Raw genomic sequence first — 16,007 nt, 5'->3', positions numbered from 1 at the left:
CCTCCGCTCCCGCCCCGCGACGAGCCCCTCGCACAAACCGGACCTGAGCGTTTTGTTCGTTCGGCTCGCGTGAGGCAGGGGCGGCCTCTCAGCACCAGCCCGGGGGCCGGCCTGATCGCCACGCAGGCACCTGCCGCCGCCACCGCCACCGCCATCTCAACCGTACGGGTGGGAGAGGCTGTGCGCCGCTCCAGGGGAGATCCGGCTCCCATCCGGCCCCACCCGCCCTGCCTTGCCCTGCCCGCAGCTTCTGGGCTGCCAGGCTCCATTCTGCGTCGTAATACGGGCTGAGCCGGCTCCAGCGGGTGGCGAAGGGGGCCGTGGCCCAGAACAGAAACCCTTCTGGAGGTGGAAACCCGGATTCTAGTCCGCCTCTGTCCCCGCGACTTCTATGGCCTTGGGCAAGTCATTTCCCGGCCTCTTGGTTTTCCCATTTGCTCAGTGAACGGTTGGTCTGGCCTCCCGCAGGGGCTAGGCCCTCCCCAGCCTCCTGTCCCGGTTCCTGGGCTCCTGGTCATGCTGGGGAAGATGCAGGCCCTCACGGAGTTGGAGCCAAGGCTGAGGTGTGGAAAATCTGGGCGGGGGAAGCTGAGGGCCACCATGGAGCCTCAAATCCACTCCTCGGATCTCTGTGGTGCTGCTGACATCCTGAGATGTCACTCCCTGACACTCCCTTGGTCCCTCTTTCAGTCTAAAAACGTCTGAGACAGTCAGACTGACTGAAAAGGACAAGCCCCCAGGCACAGCGGTTCACCACCTTCCTCAAACCTCAGAATCCCACATCCTCGCTTCCATCAGCTGGGGTGGGGTAGGTAGGTGGCCCTCAGCTCAGGCAGAGGCAGCCCCGGGAGATGGGAACCAGGGTCAGAAGTCCCTCCAAACTGCATGTTCCTAGAGGTGCTGGATTGTCCCCTCCACCACCACCCGCTCTAGTGCCCCTATGTCACCCAACTACCCAGAGGCCCCAAAGGATCTGCTGAGCCCGAGTCCGTGGCACAGAGAGAGAAGGGGGAGGGGCGAGATGGCGTTGGACAGATCCCAGGCAGGTTTAGGGAGAGGGTGGACTACAGCAGGGCTCTTCGTGGAGCAGCCCCAGGGGCAGGGGAAGGTCCTTGGGTCCTGGGCTAGGGTGTGTGCAGCCCTCTCCTGGCCCCCCTGACCAGGCTCTGTCCTGGGCCAGCCCTTTACTCTGCCTGGCACTGAAAGATTTGCCTGTCAGGGGCCTGGCATGGTCCTGGTGCACCTTCCCTGTGTCTTTGAGGGCTTCCCCTTCCCTCCCCAACCATGTCAGGGGCCAGGATTCCACATCCTGGGTTTGCACAACAAAGAGATCTCTGCTTGGAATGACCCCCTCCCAAACACACACACACACACACACACACACACACACACAGCCTTGAGGGGAGGGTGGTGAGAAGGAGGCAGCCACCCAGTGGGCGGGGATCTTTCCTGGTGACTGAGAATTACTGCCCCTTCACCCCAGGGCCTAATTTCCCCAGTCCCCCACCCACTATCCATCCTAAGACTGCAGTTGCTGGCCATTACCAGGGATCTGGCCTCTCATCCAGGTCCCTCCTCCGCTGCTCCGCTGCCACAGGGCGGGGTCTCCCAGTGCCGGGCAGGCCTGCAGGTGCGGGGCTGCATGGGGAGGGGGGCACTCAGCAGCTGCTGTACGAGGCAGGCCCCCTCCCCCTCCTGCTCAAAGCTGGAGCCTGCTTCCTGTCGTCCCTGTCAGCACCCTGGGTGGGGGAGGGACCAGGTAGTGGGGGAAGTGGAAAAGGGATTGAGCGGTTGGAGTGCAGCAGCTGAGAAACAGCAGAAGAGAAATGGAGAAGGATGAGAAAGAGACCAAGAGCATAGGCTGAAGGAAAGAGGGGTGTGAGAACACAGGGGAGATCCCAGGGGCTGCAGAGGCTGCAGACCCTAGACTGTGAGAGCGAGACCAGAGGCAGAGATGACCAGAGAGAAACCAGGGAAGAGGAACAGAGAGAGACACATGGAGACAATTCAAGATAACAAGAGATGTACGCTGAGAGAGATTGGGGATGTGGATTCATGGGGCTAGGGCTCAGGGGACCAGAGGCGGGAGGCATCGTGTGTATGGAGAAAGGGGGAAGCTGCAAAACAGCCCCATCCCACCCCAAACTAGGGTGGGAATTAGCCCCAGCAAAGGATAAAGAGGTGATTTCTAGGTGGCAGACAGGTTTGGAGGTGGGGGGAGGGTGATACCCTTATCTTGGAAGCCCATCTCCTCCCATTAAAGGACAGAATGTGAGGGAGGGGCAAGGCCCAGGCCGTGGCTGGACACCAGGGGCCAGTGAGGGGCACAGATCTGACTCCATCTCTCTGAGTTTCCCTCTTGGCCACAGATGGACAAGCCAACAGCTATGGCAGCTGCCCTGCCCCCACCCACCCCAATTATTCTGGCCTAGCCTTGGAATTTCTGGGCTTAGAGGCCGCCCAGGGTCTGTGTGACAGTGGAGGGACCTGGGAGTGGAGGCACTGGCTGGCAGGGGGGAGGCTCACACCCAGGTGCTAATCCCCATCCGGCCAAGGCAGTACCAGAGCCTCACTGACCTTCTTGGAGATTAGTCCCCATGGAGACCATGGCAACTCGCCCCCTCATTCTGGCTAGGCCAGACGGGTGGGTGGGTGGGGCAGGCATACGCTGGATAGGGAGGGGAAGGAACCTTCCAGAGGCATCACAGGAGTCAAGGCTGGGAGGCCCCTCCAGGACCCACAGCCAGCTTAGTTTATAGGTAAAAAACAGAGGCCTTAAGAGGGGATTGACTGACCAAAATCCCCAAATGGCGCCAGGACAAGCACCAACTCCAGAAGCCAGGTCCTCGGCTCGGTTCCCAAGCATTTTTTCCTAGAGAGCAGAGGCCTGAGCAAGAACAAAGGAAATTGGCACACTCCTCTCTGACCCTCCCAACCTTCCCAAACTGAGGTCATGAACTGAGGAGTGATTCAAATAGGGTGAGGCAGGAAGGCGCTCCGTCCTGAGCACTAGGCTGGCTTCTGCCAGGAACCAGGGTGAGAAGGAGGGTACAGCTCCCAGAGCCATGCTTGCAGCCTGACCACCCACCAACCAGGCGAGCGCCAGGGGTGGTGGGAAGCAGGTGTGTCAGAGCCAGTTATAACCACAACCACAGCAACAGCGGCGGCGGACATTTATTGGGTGGCCACTGCAGGCCTGTTCTGTTTTACATGCATTTAAATAATCACAACAGCCTCTTAACCCACTCTCTTCACCCTTCGGTGTCTGTATGACCTTGCGTGGGTGGCTGAGCTGATGCCTTCCTGGGTGACTGTGAAGTGGGTATGTGCACATGTGAAAGTGATGGGACATATTCGTGTGTGAGTCCAGTGCCCAGTAGAGTCCGTGGCACATAGTACATCGTATTAAATCTTTGAGGAATAAGTGAGTGACCAAGTGTCTGGCCATACATGAATATGACATTGAGGTTTCTATGGAATCCTAGAATGAGACTATTCACATGCGAAGCTTGCGGGATCACATCTATGTGCCTGGAACTGTGGATGATTCTGTCTCCATCTGACTGAACGTGTCTGTGTGTGCCCTCTCCCTGTCACCCTATGTCACCCCTGTGGCTTTGTGTCTGGGTGTGTGAGTGATGGTGAAAGCTGCCTGCCAGCTCCTGGATGGTGGCCAGTTCTCTAACCCCACTGAGGGGCAGAGGAGAGGGGCTCTGTTTCTAGTGGGATAGAACAATGGGTCTGTGTGGGTGGGACTCCTAACTGGCCCAAACTGGGCTGGTCTCTGTACCCCGTTATCTCTGTCTCCCAGGAGACCAGTCCTGCACAGCCCCAGGGAAGGTGCTCATCTGCTGATTCTGGGCTCCAGACTGGGGGTGGGGGCGGGGGCCAGAGAAGCAGGGGTGGAAAGGAGGGGCTGGTGATGGTGGCAGGGTGAGGGAAGGCACCCTTCCCTGAATTTGCATCTTCAGTACCCAACCCCTGGATGATTTCCCAGTAAAACGAGGGGGGAGGGCTGGGAGGCGACCCGCTCGAGGAGGGGACATTGGCCACCAGCCCCTCTCCGCTGCCCAGCAGTACTGAGCAGTCAGGCTGTTCCTGGGGTGGGGCTCTAGGTGAGAGAGGTGCCACTTCTTTGGGATTCTCAGGGCCTTTGCCTAGGACGGAGATTGGGCAGGAGCTTAGGAGTGGGTTTGAGGGCTTCCTTGCGGGATCTATGTGTCCCCACATGGGATGGGAGTCCGGGTGGGATGTGAGGGCCTCATGGAGGGGACTTAGGCTCAAAGGATTCTCTGTGGGATCTTATGGGTCTGTATGGGATGGGGGTTTCGGTGAAATCAGAGGGCAGGAGATGGTGGCTAGGGATGGGGTGAGGTCCTGAGGATTTCCTTGTGGGACTCAAAGGTCCCAGTGTGAGATGGAGAACTGAATGAGGTCAGGGTGGGGGCCCTGAGGGTGATAAGATCTCTGTGAGATTTTGAGGGCTCTGTGAAGTGTCCACTGGGGTTTCTGGTTTTTGTCTACCTAATTCCCCGCTCCATGCCCCAAGGCCAGGCTGTGGATGTGGAGGGGGTAGGGGTGACTGTGCTGAGCTGGCAAACAAAGCCACCTGGGCACCCATCCTTCAGGAAGCTCTGGGCGCAACTGATCTGGGAAAACAAACAGGAACAGCTGCTAGGGGTGGGGGGGGTGGGCGGCATGGCAGCTGGGGAGAGGAGCAGAGCTGGACCAGCCTGGTAGGGAAAGGAGGAGACCAGTAGGGGGTCCGTGGTACCCAAGGGGGGTTATCGATCCCAGAGTCCTCTCCTGGCACAGTAGGCAGGGCTGCCTCGAAGCCCCTTCCCCTCAGTGGTTCTTCTCTTTGGCGATAACTGTGAGGCCTAAAGTCAGGAGGGGCCTGAGGGCGTTAGGGGAACCCTGAGATGTTTAGAGGTCTTCTGGGCCAGTGACTATGGGTGGCGGTGGTGGGTATGCCCATTTCTGAGAGAGCTGGTCGCAGTTACTAGAACTAGAAGTCATGGGTGAGGGGGTGGGGGGGGTACCTCCATACCATTTCCACGGGGAGGGACAAGGTAGAGAAGGGGAGAGGCTGGCTGCCGCCAAGACCAGAGTTTCACACTGGAGGAGGAGTAGGGGCCCTTCTCACACACGGGGTCCACTCCCCAACTCCAAGCGGGACTCCTAATTCTAACCTGGACCTCGGCTGGACGGCCTCCCCGCTTTTCCTCCTCCCCTAACCCTGGAAAAGGCGCGACGCACCACTCCTGCAGAATGCCGCCGTGGGACCCACGCGTGGAGCCCGACCCTCGAGAGTACGTCCAGCCCCCAGCCCCGCTCGGTGCACAGTGTCCAGTCTCCGACAGACACCCCCACACCCTCTGACCAACACTTGGCGTCCGCGTCAGGGACAGCGCAGACGCACAGCCTGACGCACTAGCCACCCGCGCCCGCGGCCCCTCCCGACCTGGACCTCCCCTTCCACCCCGCCCTCCGCGCCAGCTTTCGGGCCAGCGCGGCCTGCTCCTGCCCTCTGGTGGCCGAATCCAGAATTGTCGGATAGAGATGGGGGAAGGAGGGAAGGCGAGATCTGATTCTTCACCCCTCACCCCTGCCCGGGCTGGTGACACTGAAGGCAAAGACTGGGACACCAAGGGTCCAGAACTGGCTCGTGCCCCACTCTGTGGTTTGTATTCCCTCCTTGAGGTTTGTGTTTGTTCAAACCCCCGCTAGGTAGGGAATCAGGACACTGTTCTGACCTCACCCCCAGTCAAACCTGCCTGAGGTTGTCCCATCTCTGACCCATATCCTCCTCACTCGGACTCTACCGCCATGCCCAGTTCTAGGGCCCTGTACTGTTGGCACCCATCTTCACACACACTGCGAGCTCCAACAGTAACTCCTCACCAGGGAAAAGAGAGCCCAAGGGATCCTCTGTCTGCCCCCAGCTCCTGCTCTCAGCAACCCAGAACTTCAGAGGTGGGAGAGCAAGCTGCCAAGACCCCCCCGCCAACTTCCATTGGAGAATTTTCTCTACACCCCTTTTCCCGTGGACATTTGGCCCACGCCTGACCACCTTGTTCGTTCACTCGTTCAAGAAGTTTTATTGAGTGCCTACTATGCATCCAGCACTGTGCTAGGTTTGAGGATAACAACTGAGAACAAAACACAGTCCCTGCCCCTTCAAATGGAGCTTACACTCTGGTAAGGGAGATGCTGCTACACCCATAAACACAAGATGAAAAAGATAACTTTACAGCGTGATAAATGCTAGAAAGAAAAAGGCTGATGTGATGGATGGAAGGGTGCCTAGAACAGCATCACTGAGGAGGTGACACAGGAGCCAGCCATGCCACGATCTTGTGACCAAGACACTCCAGGTAGCTGGAACAACAAATGCAAAGGCTCTGAGATGGGCTGAGTATGGAACACTGGGAAGAAGGCTTAGAAGGCAGGCTGGTGTGGCAAGGCTTCTGGGAGCTGGGGTGTCCGCAGCTGGCCTGTGAGCACTTTTTGGCACGGGAGCTTCAATGGACAGCGGCGGAGCACAGGCTTTGGCTTCCAAAGGTCTGAGCTCGATTCTTGCTCTGAAACTGGCTAGCCATGTGAGTTTGGACAAGGCCCTGCACCTCTTTGACCCTCCGCTTCCATAACCGTACACACAAACCTAACTCGCTGGACTGTTGTGAGGACCCATAAGGGAAGCATGTGACTCATGGAAGCAACAAAATATTAGCTCCCTTCTCACTCGCCCCTCTCACCTCTGCTGGAATATCCCCACCCGCACCCACCACCATTAAGGAAAACCTACAATTTTGCAAGAAGCCTTTGTGTCTCATTTGCTGTGGTTAGAAAATTCCACTGCAAGTGGTGAGGAAATTTCCTACCTGGAGCTACCCCTTGGGACTCCCAACCTTTTTGGAGCTCCCAACCTTTTCCTCTTCCCCCTCTACCTCCCCTTTTCTCTACACCCCCCACCCCCACCCCCACCGCCGCCTTTTCCCAGCTCACTCTGTCGCCCAGACTGGAGTGCAGTGGCTTGATTTCGGCTCACTGCAACCTCCACCTCCTGGGCTCAAGCAATTCTCCCATCTCAGGCTCCCAGGTAGCTGGGACTACAGGCGCATGCCAACACGCCCGGCTAATTTTTGTTTGTTTTTGCAGAGACGGGGTTTCACCATGTCGCCCAGGCTGGTCTCAAATTCCTGGGTTCAAGAGATCCTCCCACCTGGGCCTCCCAAAGTGCTGGGATCACAGGTGTGAACCACTGCGCCCGGCCCTGGGAGATTTCTTAGCTGTGACCCCTGCACCACATTCCAAAGCCCTCTGGGCCTCCACTTCTTCATCTGCGAAATGCAGGACAATAACAGTATCTTCCTAGCAGGTCAGTGTTAGAATTGATGGAGTTCACGCACCCGAAAGCCTGAGCAGAGAACTCGGCCTGAACTAAGCGCTTCATCCTCAGCTGCTAACTCTCAGGCAGACGTCGAGGCTGGAACCCTTAGAGCCTGGAGCTTTGTGGGAGACCCGCAGCGGCACCGGTTGAGCCGAGCTAAAGCCCAACATTCTTCCTACCTCCCGCGGCGAGCCACTCCCTAGGTGGCTATTATGCCTAAACACTGAGTAAACCGCGCGGCCCTCGGGCGGTCGTTTCCAGCGCCCGGCGCCGCCGCGTGGCGAGTCCTGACCACCGCCTCCTCTCCTTCCCGGGCCCGAGGACACCCCGGGGGCGCGGCGCAGGATCTGGGAACGCACGCTTGGGAGGAAAAGGGCCGCGATGGACCGATCCCCCAGGAAAAAGAGGACTGAGCACATGAAGCGAATCCTTTGGGCAGAGCCCTCTCTACCTCCGCCTTAGCATCGCCCAAAAGAGAGGCCTGGACTAGGGCCGAGGAAGGCTGGCGATTAGACTCTGGGAAGAACTTCCGCTCAGCGAGTCAGCAGCGCGGTCTTAGCCCGAGGCCCAGGGGAGGCCAGGTCCCTTCGTCCCCGAGGGCCGGGACAGGGAGGGCGCGTTCTGCCCCGAGGCCTGGCGTGCCCTGCCTGGCTCAGGCTGGAAAGAAAGAAAGCGCGGAGTCAGCCTGGGCTGCGGCGGGCGCGGGGTGCGCGCCTCAGCACTTTCTGTTGTCTTTCCCGCGGGCTGGGGCCACAGCGGCGGCTGCGGGAGAGGCCTCGGCTCCCCAGCGGAGACCAGAGCCGACCGCAGCCTGCCTGCTGACTCAGCGACCCCACCCCCGAGGGAAAGGGTGCGGACAGGGGGACAAGGCCCAGGTATAAAGCTCGGCCCGCCCGGCCGCGCGCAGCCTCGCAGCCGGTCCATTTCCCTCGCGTGCCGCGCTCACCCACCCGGTGAATGCCCTCTGCTGGGGTGGGGAAGGGAGGGGAGCGCGGGAAGACTGCGAGCCCCTGGCAGCCGGGTCCAGAGCTAGGCCGGGTCCAGCCCCCGGGTTCTTCATCCGCTACCCAGGTTGGGCAGGCTGTGTGTGGCTCGAAACGGGGCTCTTGAGACGCTGAGCGCGTGGTGCCACCCTTCCTGTCCGCAGCGGCATGAGCAGCGCCCCCGCGCCGGGCCCGGCGCCCGCCAGCCTCACGCTCTGGGACGAGGAGGACTTCCAGGGCCGTCGCTGTCGGCTGCTAAGCGACTGTGCGAACGTCTGCGAGCGCGGAGGCCTGCCCAGGGTGCGCTCGGTCAAGGTGGAAAACGGCGTGTGAGTGATTGCCTGGCCGCGGCTGGGCTGGGTTGAGGGGCGCTGGGTTCCACCGGCCTAGGCTCAGAGCCTCAGCCCCCTGTCCTGTGAGCCCTGGAGAGACCTGCCAACATGGGAAACCCCATAGCCTCCCCAAAATTCCCCACCCATCGCAAGATAAATCATGGGAAACTGTGTATTTTTGTGCTAGCTAAAGAGACACAGGCGAGAAGCGACCCCTTGAGGGTCCCTATGGGACCCCACCGTGAAGGGGTTTCTAGTGTACTTACACCCTTCCCAGAGTTTTTCTCTGTGCAAAATTAGAAGGCTCTGCACTTGGCTTAACAAAAGAAACCCAATCCCTTTCCCTGGCCCCACCCTGGTCTCCCAGAGCCCAGCTTTTCCCACCCTGCCGCCCCCTACCCCTGCCCCAGCTGAGGTCCCAGTTTCTGCTGTGATATTCGGGAGGGGTCCTCCAATGTGTCCCCATGCAAAGGCCTAAACCCTTGAGGCAGGAGCACTGGGTCGGGAGATCTTCATAACCAGGAAAACTCTTTCCCAACCTGGGGTCCTTGAGGGGGAAGCCTGGGCGCCTCAAACCCCAGAAAGCAGCAGGTTTTGGACCTTTAGTTCCGAGAGGGGCTGGATTGCCATACAATGGGGGTGTCAGGGGAAGGGTTTGGGGTTGGAGAAAAACATTGTGCTTCTCAGTCTTTTCAATCATGGCCGGCAAGGGGGAGGGCAGAGAGGGTGCGGCTGGGGCAGATACCTCCCAGCTCTTCTCCTTTTCCAGTTGGGTGGCCTTTGAGTACCCCGACTTCCAGGGACAGCAGTTCATTCTGGAGAAGGGAGACTATCCTCGCTGGAGCGCCTGGAGTGGCAGCAGCAGCCACAACAGCAACCAGCTGCTGTCCTTCCGGCCAGTGCTCTGCGCGGTGAGCACAGCCCACTTCTCCTCCCCTGCCTCCTAGCTCCAGGCCCTGGCCTCACCATGGCACCTAGAAAGGCTGTTCAAGCCCTGCATGGGGTGTGTGTAAACAAACTCCGAGATGGGTGGTAGTAGCATTATTTCTCAGAATCAGAAGGGTGTCTCCAAGAAAGTTGGGATTGTGGGCGTAGGCCCGGAGCCCAGAAATCATCACCACGGACAGCGCTGAGGCCATCCCAGTCCTGAGTGCCCAGGGTTCCCCCACATTCCATCGTCCACACGTGTGAGTGAGTGCCTCTGTCGTCACACAGCCATGTGAGGTCGGGTTGACTGCTGTTAGCCCCATACACAGGTGTGGAAATGGGGCTCAAAGGGACAAAGTGGCTTGCCCAGGGTCACTGAAAAGAGTCAGTCTCAGTGTGTTTGTGTGTGTGTTATTGTGTGTGTGAGGGTGTTGTTAATGAATCAAATACACCGAAAGAGAGGACCTCATTTTCCATTTGTGCCGACCTGGTTACTAGTAGGGCTGGGAAGTGGAGAGCAGAGGACCCAGCCCAGGCCAGCCCAATTCTTCTGTTCCAAGAGGCTGAAGAACCCTGCAGTGGGAAGGCCGGAGCCAAGATGCAATCAGTATTGATGCCCTGACATGTCTATTCTGATTCTGCCACCCAGTACCTCTTAGCTGGGCACTAATCTGTGAGAGGCTGTGCGAAGGGGCTGGGCAAGGGCTTGGGTAGTTAGTCAATGAGGACCTCAGGGAACTGTCTTGGTGAATGGGACAGATTTCTCTAAGGACCTCTGATTTTGCTCCTGCAAAATGGGCCCATGTCACAAGATGCTCTCTAGTCCTGACCTGAAAGGGTCTCTGGAAATCCTATCCCCCAATCACCTCCTTATCTCAAAGTCATGGGAGGGGCCAGGTTCGGGGGAACCTCTGAGCGATCCATTTCCCAGACTGCCAGGGAGCTGATGGGGTGAGCTCTGGGAGTGCCTGTGGGTCCTAGACAGCTTCACAGCTTGTGAGGTGCAGTGGGTGGGGGAAGTGAGGCAGAGGATGTATCCGTTAACCCTTTGGAAGCCCTGATCTTTCTGTCCTGATCTTGCTGTGCCTCAGAACCACAATGACAGCCGTGTGACACTGTTTGAGGGGGACAACTTCCAAGGCTGCAAGTTTGACCTCGTTGATGACTACCCATCCCTGCCCTCCATGGGCTGGGCCAGCAAGGATGTGGGTTCCCTCAAAGTCAGCTCCGGAGCGTGAGTCCTGGAACTGGAACCAGGGAGACAGAAGAGCAGGGAGGCAATGGGGACCAAGGAAGAGGGTGGAGAAAAGTGATGTGGGGAGGGCGCTAAGAGAGATATTGGGGACTTGGAGGCAAGGGGAGGGAGATGATGGAGTCAGACTGGAAGGGAGGAAATGAGGAGGTCCTAGGAGAATGGGGGGCAGCGGGCAATATGGGCACAGATGAAGGGCTGGAGAACATGAGGGGGTGGAGGAAATAAGGGGTGGGTATAGAAGACTGGATGAGAACGGTGACAGAAAGACTGGAAGCAGTGGGCAGGGGAGGGAGAGAGCCACGGAGGGAAAGTTGAAGCAATGATTTTGGAACTGGGGGTTGGGAGCTACAAAAGGGGGGCTGCTGGTGGAGAACATAGGGTGGGGGTGGGGGCAGAGCTTACTCCCTGCCTCTGTACCCTCACTGGCCTAGGTGGGTGGCCTACCAGTACCCAGGCTACCGAGGCTACCAGTATGTGTTGGAGCGGGACCGGCACAGCGGAGAGTTCTGTACTTACGGTGAGCTCGGCACACAGGCCCACACTGGGCAGCTGCAGTCCATCCGGAGAGTCCAGCACTAGGCTCCACGGCCCCAGACACCTTCCCTGAGGACACTCAATAAAGGTTCCTGAATCTTCCTGCCCCTCTTGCCTCCTTGGTGTCTTGCTTTGTGATCTCCATCCTCATCTTTCTGAAGGTCCCTCCCTGCCAAGCTGACCCTCCCCACAGGCTCCAGCATCCTTGGCTACGAAGTGTAAGCTGGCTGAGGTTGTGTGTGGGTAGGCTCTGGTGGGTCTGACAGCAAAGTGCTGGTAAGAATCTTAGCAATTCTGGCTGGGCGCAGTGGCTCATTCCTGCAATCCCAGCACTTTGGGAGGCTGAGACACGTGGCTCACAAGGTCAAGAGATTGAAACCATCCTGGTCAACATGGTGAAACCCCGTCTCTACTAAAAATACAAAGATTAGCTGGGTGTGGTGGTGCACACCTGTAATCCCAGCTACTTGGGAGGCTGAGGCAGGAGAATTGCTTGAACTTGGGAGGTGGAGGCTGCAGTGAGCCAAGATCGTGCCAGTGCACTCCAGCCTGGCGACAGAGCAAGACTCCGAAACAAACAAACAAACAAAAACAACAACAACAAAAAAACCTTAGTAATTCTGTTAAATGGCACCAGTCCCAAACCTCTCCTTGGTAAGGTCCACCACTATGGGCCCAGGGTACTGCTAGCTCAGATGGCACCTTTGCCACCTTGTGGGTGGGGTGGACACACCCCAACAACAGGGCTCATAGCTGGATTGCAGCTTCCACACATCTCCTGGCCCAGGTACCATCATGCAGGGCAGAACTTCCTTACCATGCACTGAAGTTCTGGGCTTCCTCTGTAACCCCAGAGCATTTTCAACCTTTATCTTCACCCAGTTCCCTGCCCAGTAAGGGAAGCCTGAGCCTCCTGCGTTGTCCCATTTCCTCCATTCGCAGGAGGGGAGTTAGTGGGAAACCCCACTGCTTCCCAGGGCCTTCAAAGGGGAGACTTCCACCCTCTGAGCCCAGCCCCCAGACCCTTTGAACAATGACAATCCCTTGCAGTGGTGTTGAACTCCAGCATTTACAAAGCATCTTCATATCCCCCCTCTCAGCTGCTCCATACCACCCCCTCTTCACTCTTCCTTTCCCTCCCTACCCTTCAGAAAACTGGTGAGCTGTAGAAGTCACCCCTCAGTTGCTAAGCCTGGGTTCTGGGCAAGTGGCAGGTGCCCATAGGCATGGCAGGGCTGAGTATGGTGGCAGCCATTAGAGCCTCTGGCACTAGTATGGGTTTTTTCCCAGTTCCCTCTTCGGTCCAGTTGGTGATGCCCCCCAACCCCCACACAGACAGAGCCTCTCAAGATTCTTGGGACTGCCTTCATCCTGTCCTTCAGGGATTCTTGTGTTTTCAAGTCCCCAGTGGACCTATCAGTGGGGAAGGGTGGCTCTAATTATTGCCCCAGGCCAGGCAGAGCAGGACAATGCCAGGGAGCAGTCAGACTTGGGCCTGAAATCCCCAGAGGTTCAGCTGTGCAAAGTCAGGCAGCTGCTCCTTTGGGAAGAGCTCCGGACCATAAGTCAGAACACCTGGGACCCAATTCCCTCACCTTGTAAACTGGGGCTATTGGCCACTGTCCTGCCTGTCTCACAGGGGCTGTTGGGAGGATTCCATGAGAAACCCCTGCAAATGTTTGTGGTGTTATGGAAAAGCACTGGGGTAGTCAATGTAGGGACCTCCTTCCCCTACCTCCCCGCTATGGATCCTAGGGTTGGGTCAGGGGACCAAGGGAGTGAGCTTTGGATGGCGTATAAATTTTGCTTTACACTCGAATGGGCTCTAGAGTCCATGGCCCTTGTTGCATTCAATCCTCCTAATACTCTCCAATTCCATCTATTTTACCAAACTGGGGGTCCAAGGAGAAACTTTGATGACATCACCCACTTAATTGGTGACAAAACCAGGATTTGAACACAGAGTTCTTGGCCCTAAATCCAGGCTGTTAGGTGGAGGCTGAACTGAGCTGTGGCTAAAAGCCACAGGCCTCAGCAGAGCCCCAAACTTCTGTGGGCCCCAGAGGAACCTGGGGTTCCTGGCTGGTCATGGGCACCTCCCCATCCCCTTGTGGAATGGCAATATTTACAATAGCTACATGTATAGAATCTGATCTAAGCCCTTCACATGTGTTATCTCATATAAACCTCATCATTCTGTATGGCAGGTACTATCATACCCATTTTATTTTTATTTATTTTTATTTTTATTTTGAGACAGAGTCTCACTCTGTTGCCCAGGATGGAGTGCGTTGGCACGATCTCAGCTCATTGCAACCTCCACTTCCTGGGTTCAAGCAATTCTTCCACCTTAGCCCCTGAGTAACTGGGATTACAGGCACCTGCCATCATGCCAGGCTAATTTTTGTATTTTTGTAGAGATGGGGTTTCACCTTGTTGGCCAGGCTGGTCTTGAACTCCTGACCTCAGGTGATCACCCTCCTTGGCCTCCCAAAGTGCTGGGATTACAGGCATGAGCCACTGCGCTGGCCCATACCCACTTTACAAATGAGGAGATGCAAGTACAGTACAGAGGTTATGTTACTTCCCCCAAAGTCACATAACCAGGAAATGGGAGAGTCAGGAGTTGAAACTAGAACCCAGGCAAACTGGCTTCAGAGCCCAGCAGGCCACTTCCCCACTGCTTGCTTTGGGGAGCAGGCAATGAGCAAAGGGAGATCTGGAATCTGCCCTTGACTGAGCTGCTCTCCCTACAGGGGTATCTGTGGTTGCTGGGAAGAATCAGCAAGATGGCTTCAGGAACTAGAAGTGTGACTCTGGACCTTCTGGTCCTCCATTCATTCTGGGCAGGCTGGCCATCTGCAGAACCACATGGGACCAGCGCTCAGCAGGGTAGGAAGGGGATGAAGGGGAAACTGCCAAGGACTCTCCTGTTGGCTTCCCTAGCTGTACTTGCAGCAGGAGGGGATGGAGAAGATCAAGACTCAGGTGGGTGGAGATGACTGCCCCCCATGCACACATTTCCTGGTGCTCCACCCCCTCAGCAAATGACTTCTGGGTAAGACTGAGGGATAAAGCCTATACTGTTGATCCTTGCCCAGCTCACAGCTGGGATATTTGGGTAGACCTCACTAGGACCCTCTCCTTTACACCTTAGCCTCCCACTGAGAGCATTAAGTGGGCGAATTTTGATGCCTCCCAGCTTTCCCAGCTCTTACCTCCTGCCCCTGGCTATTTTCTGTTCTTACCTCCTGCTCCTTGTTTTCTGTCCATAGTGGGTGGGGGAAGCAGAAAGAGGAATGAGAAGGAGAGGGATTGGGATCTTGACCCCAACTTCAAGGCCCTCACCTTCTGTGGAGCCCTGAGTTTGGTCCACAGGGAACATTCCAACCTCTAGTCTTTGCTCCCACCAGATTCCAGGTCCACATCCTGAAGGCTTCATCCCTGTCCCACTAGGATCCTCCCAGGCCCTGGGATCCCTCTTTTTCCCTCCACACTCTGCCTCCCACTCTTCTCCCTGGCTCCTTTGCACCCTCCACGAGCAAAGATGAACACTCCAGAAGTTGCAGCAAATGAGGGTGAACATGGGCCCTGTAGAACCCCAGAAGTAGGAGTTTCCAGCCATCCTCAATCAGGCATCCCAGGACCAGGCACTTAGCAGGAGACCTGCCCATTCCCAGGCCTCCTCCACCCCTGGGCTCAAGCAGTGAGAGAGGACTTTGAGAATGCCAGTTTTGACAGTACCCGTTCCATACTGCAAGGCTGCAGAAGGTGGGCTTCTGGGCTGGAGCCTCATCTTCAGCCAGCATCCTCCTTAGCCTGCCTCTCCAGAGCCACGAAGCCCCATAGGTACCCAGAGAGACTCCAGGCCACTTGGGAACCACATCAACATCTTTGCATGAGTTAGAAATAGGAATCCTTTTCTTGGAGTGGATTCCAGCCTTGTACAGTGCACAACCCTGTCTTAACCCCTCCACCTCTCCAGCCTCGTTCAGGGATAGCCAGAATGGGAGTAGTGGTGAGGGTGGGTGGCAGACTGGGAGGACAGGGGATGGGGAAGGATGGGAGCAGAATAGTTGTACAGGGAAGTAGCAGGGGGCTCAGGAACCCATCAGGGAAAGCCAGGACAGATTCTCAACATCTTTAGAGGCCTTCAGCAGTCCAAGCCACTACTAATTTATGGGGACTGAATGAATGAGAAAAGGAGGGGAGGGAGAAGGATGAGAGGGAGAGAGAAGGCTGGAGGGGAGATGAGAGTCGGAGAGAAAAGCCTAGGAGGTAAAGAGAGACCTAGAAGGGGGCGGGGAGGACAGAAGAGGGGGCCACCCATCATAAGTTGCCAGGAGAGATGGCCCAGCACCAGGCCTGAGGCTTGGGGGCCCCAGAAAGGCAGGAAACGGGCCAAAGCAAGAAGGAGACGGGGAAGGGGTTCGGGTCTCTAGGGAAGAGCAGAGAGTGGGAGAAGAGGAGGAGGGAGCGGGGATGCGGGCAGAGATAAAGGGAGCAACGGCTGCAGGGCCGGGCGCGCAGCGACAGGCGAGAGGGAGGGAAGCGGAAATTTAAAAGTGAAGATGCAGATAACG

The 16,007-nt window shown here is 57.2% G+C and overlaps 1 protein-coding gene and 1 non-coding gene across 3 annotated transcripts, besides 2 other annotated features; both read left to right on the top strand.

Moving 5' to 3' along the window:
- Window positions 13-76, top strand: MIR375 (microRNA 375). Its single transcript, NR_029867.1, has one exon. It is a non-coding gene; the product is annotated as a microRNA 375 (primary transcript).
- Window positions 1,177-2,160: an enhancer, noted in NCBI's record as "H3K4me1 hESC enhancer chr2:219864283-219865266 (GRCh37/hg19 assembly coordinates)". NCBI's record gives its function as "activates a minimal SCP1, AML or CMV promoter by ChIP-STARR-seq in naive H9 embryonic stem cells {active_cell/tissue: H9 hESC(naive)}" and the evidence as "EXISTENCE:reporter gene assay evidence [ECO:0000049][PMID:30033119]".
- Window positions 5,440-5,619: a silencer, noted in NCBI's record as "silent region_12339". NCBI's record gives its function as "represses an Ori minimal core promoter by ATAC-STARR-seq in GM12878 lymphoblastoid cells {active_cell/tissue: GM12878}" and the evidence as "EXISTENCE:reporter gene assay evidence [ECO:0000049][PMID:35858748]".
- Window positions 8,299-11,531, top strand: CRYBA2 (crystallin beta A2). Of its 2 annotated transcripts, NM_057094.2 has the most exons (5): window positions 8,299-8,346; window positions 8,541-8,705; window positions 9,478-9,619; window positions 10,727-10,869; window positions 11,322-11,531. In NM_057094.2, exons 2-5 carry the CDS (start codon window positions 8,545-8,547, stop codon window positions 11,467-11,469), a joined length of 594 nt encoding a protein of 197 aa, NP_476435.1. In that variant the 5' UTR covers window positions 8,299-8,346; window positions 8,541-8,544; the 3' UTR covers window positions 11,470-11,531. The 2 variants fall into 2 exon arrangements, with proteins under 2 accessions (NP_476435.1, NP_476434.1); NM_057093.2 differs by having other exon boundaries at window positions 8,299-8,705.

Source organism: Homo sapiens, chromosome 2, assembly GCF_000001405.40.
Source record: "Homo sapiens chromosome 2, GRCh38.p14 Primary Assembly".
Taxonomy (NCBI): domain Eukaryota; kingdom Metazoa; phylum Chordata; class Mammalia; order Primates; family Hominidae; genus Homo; species Homo sapiens.
The sequence above is the reverse complement of the archived record's forward strand: the minus strand, read 5'-3'. Positions and strand labels throughout refer to the sequence as shown.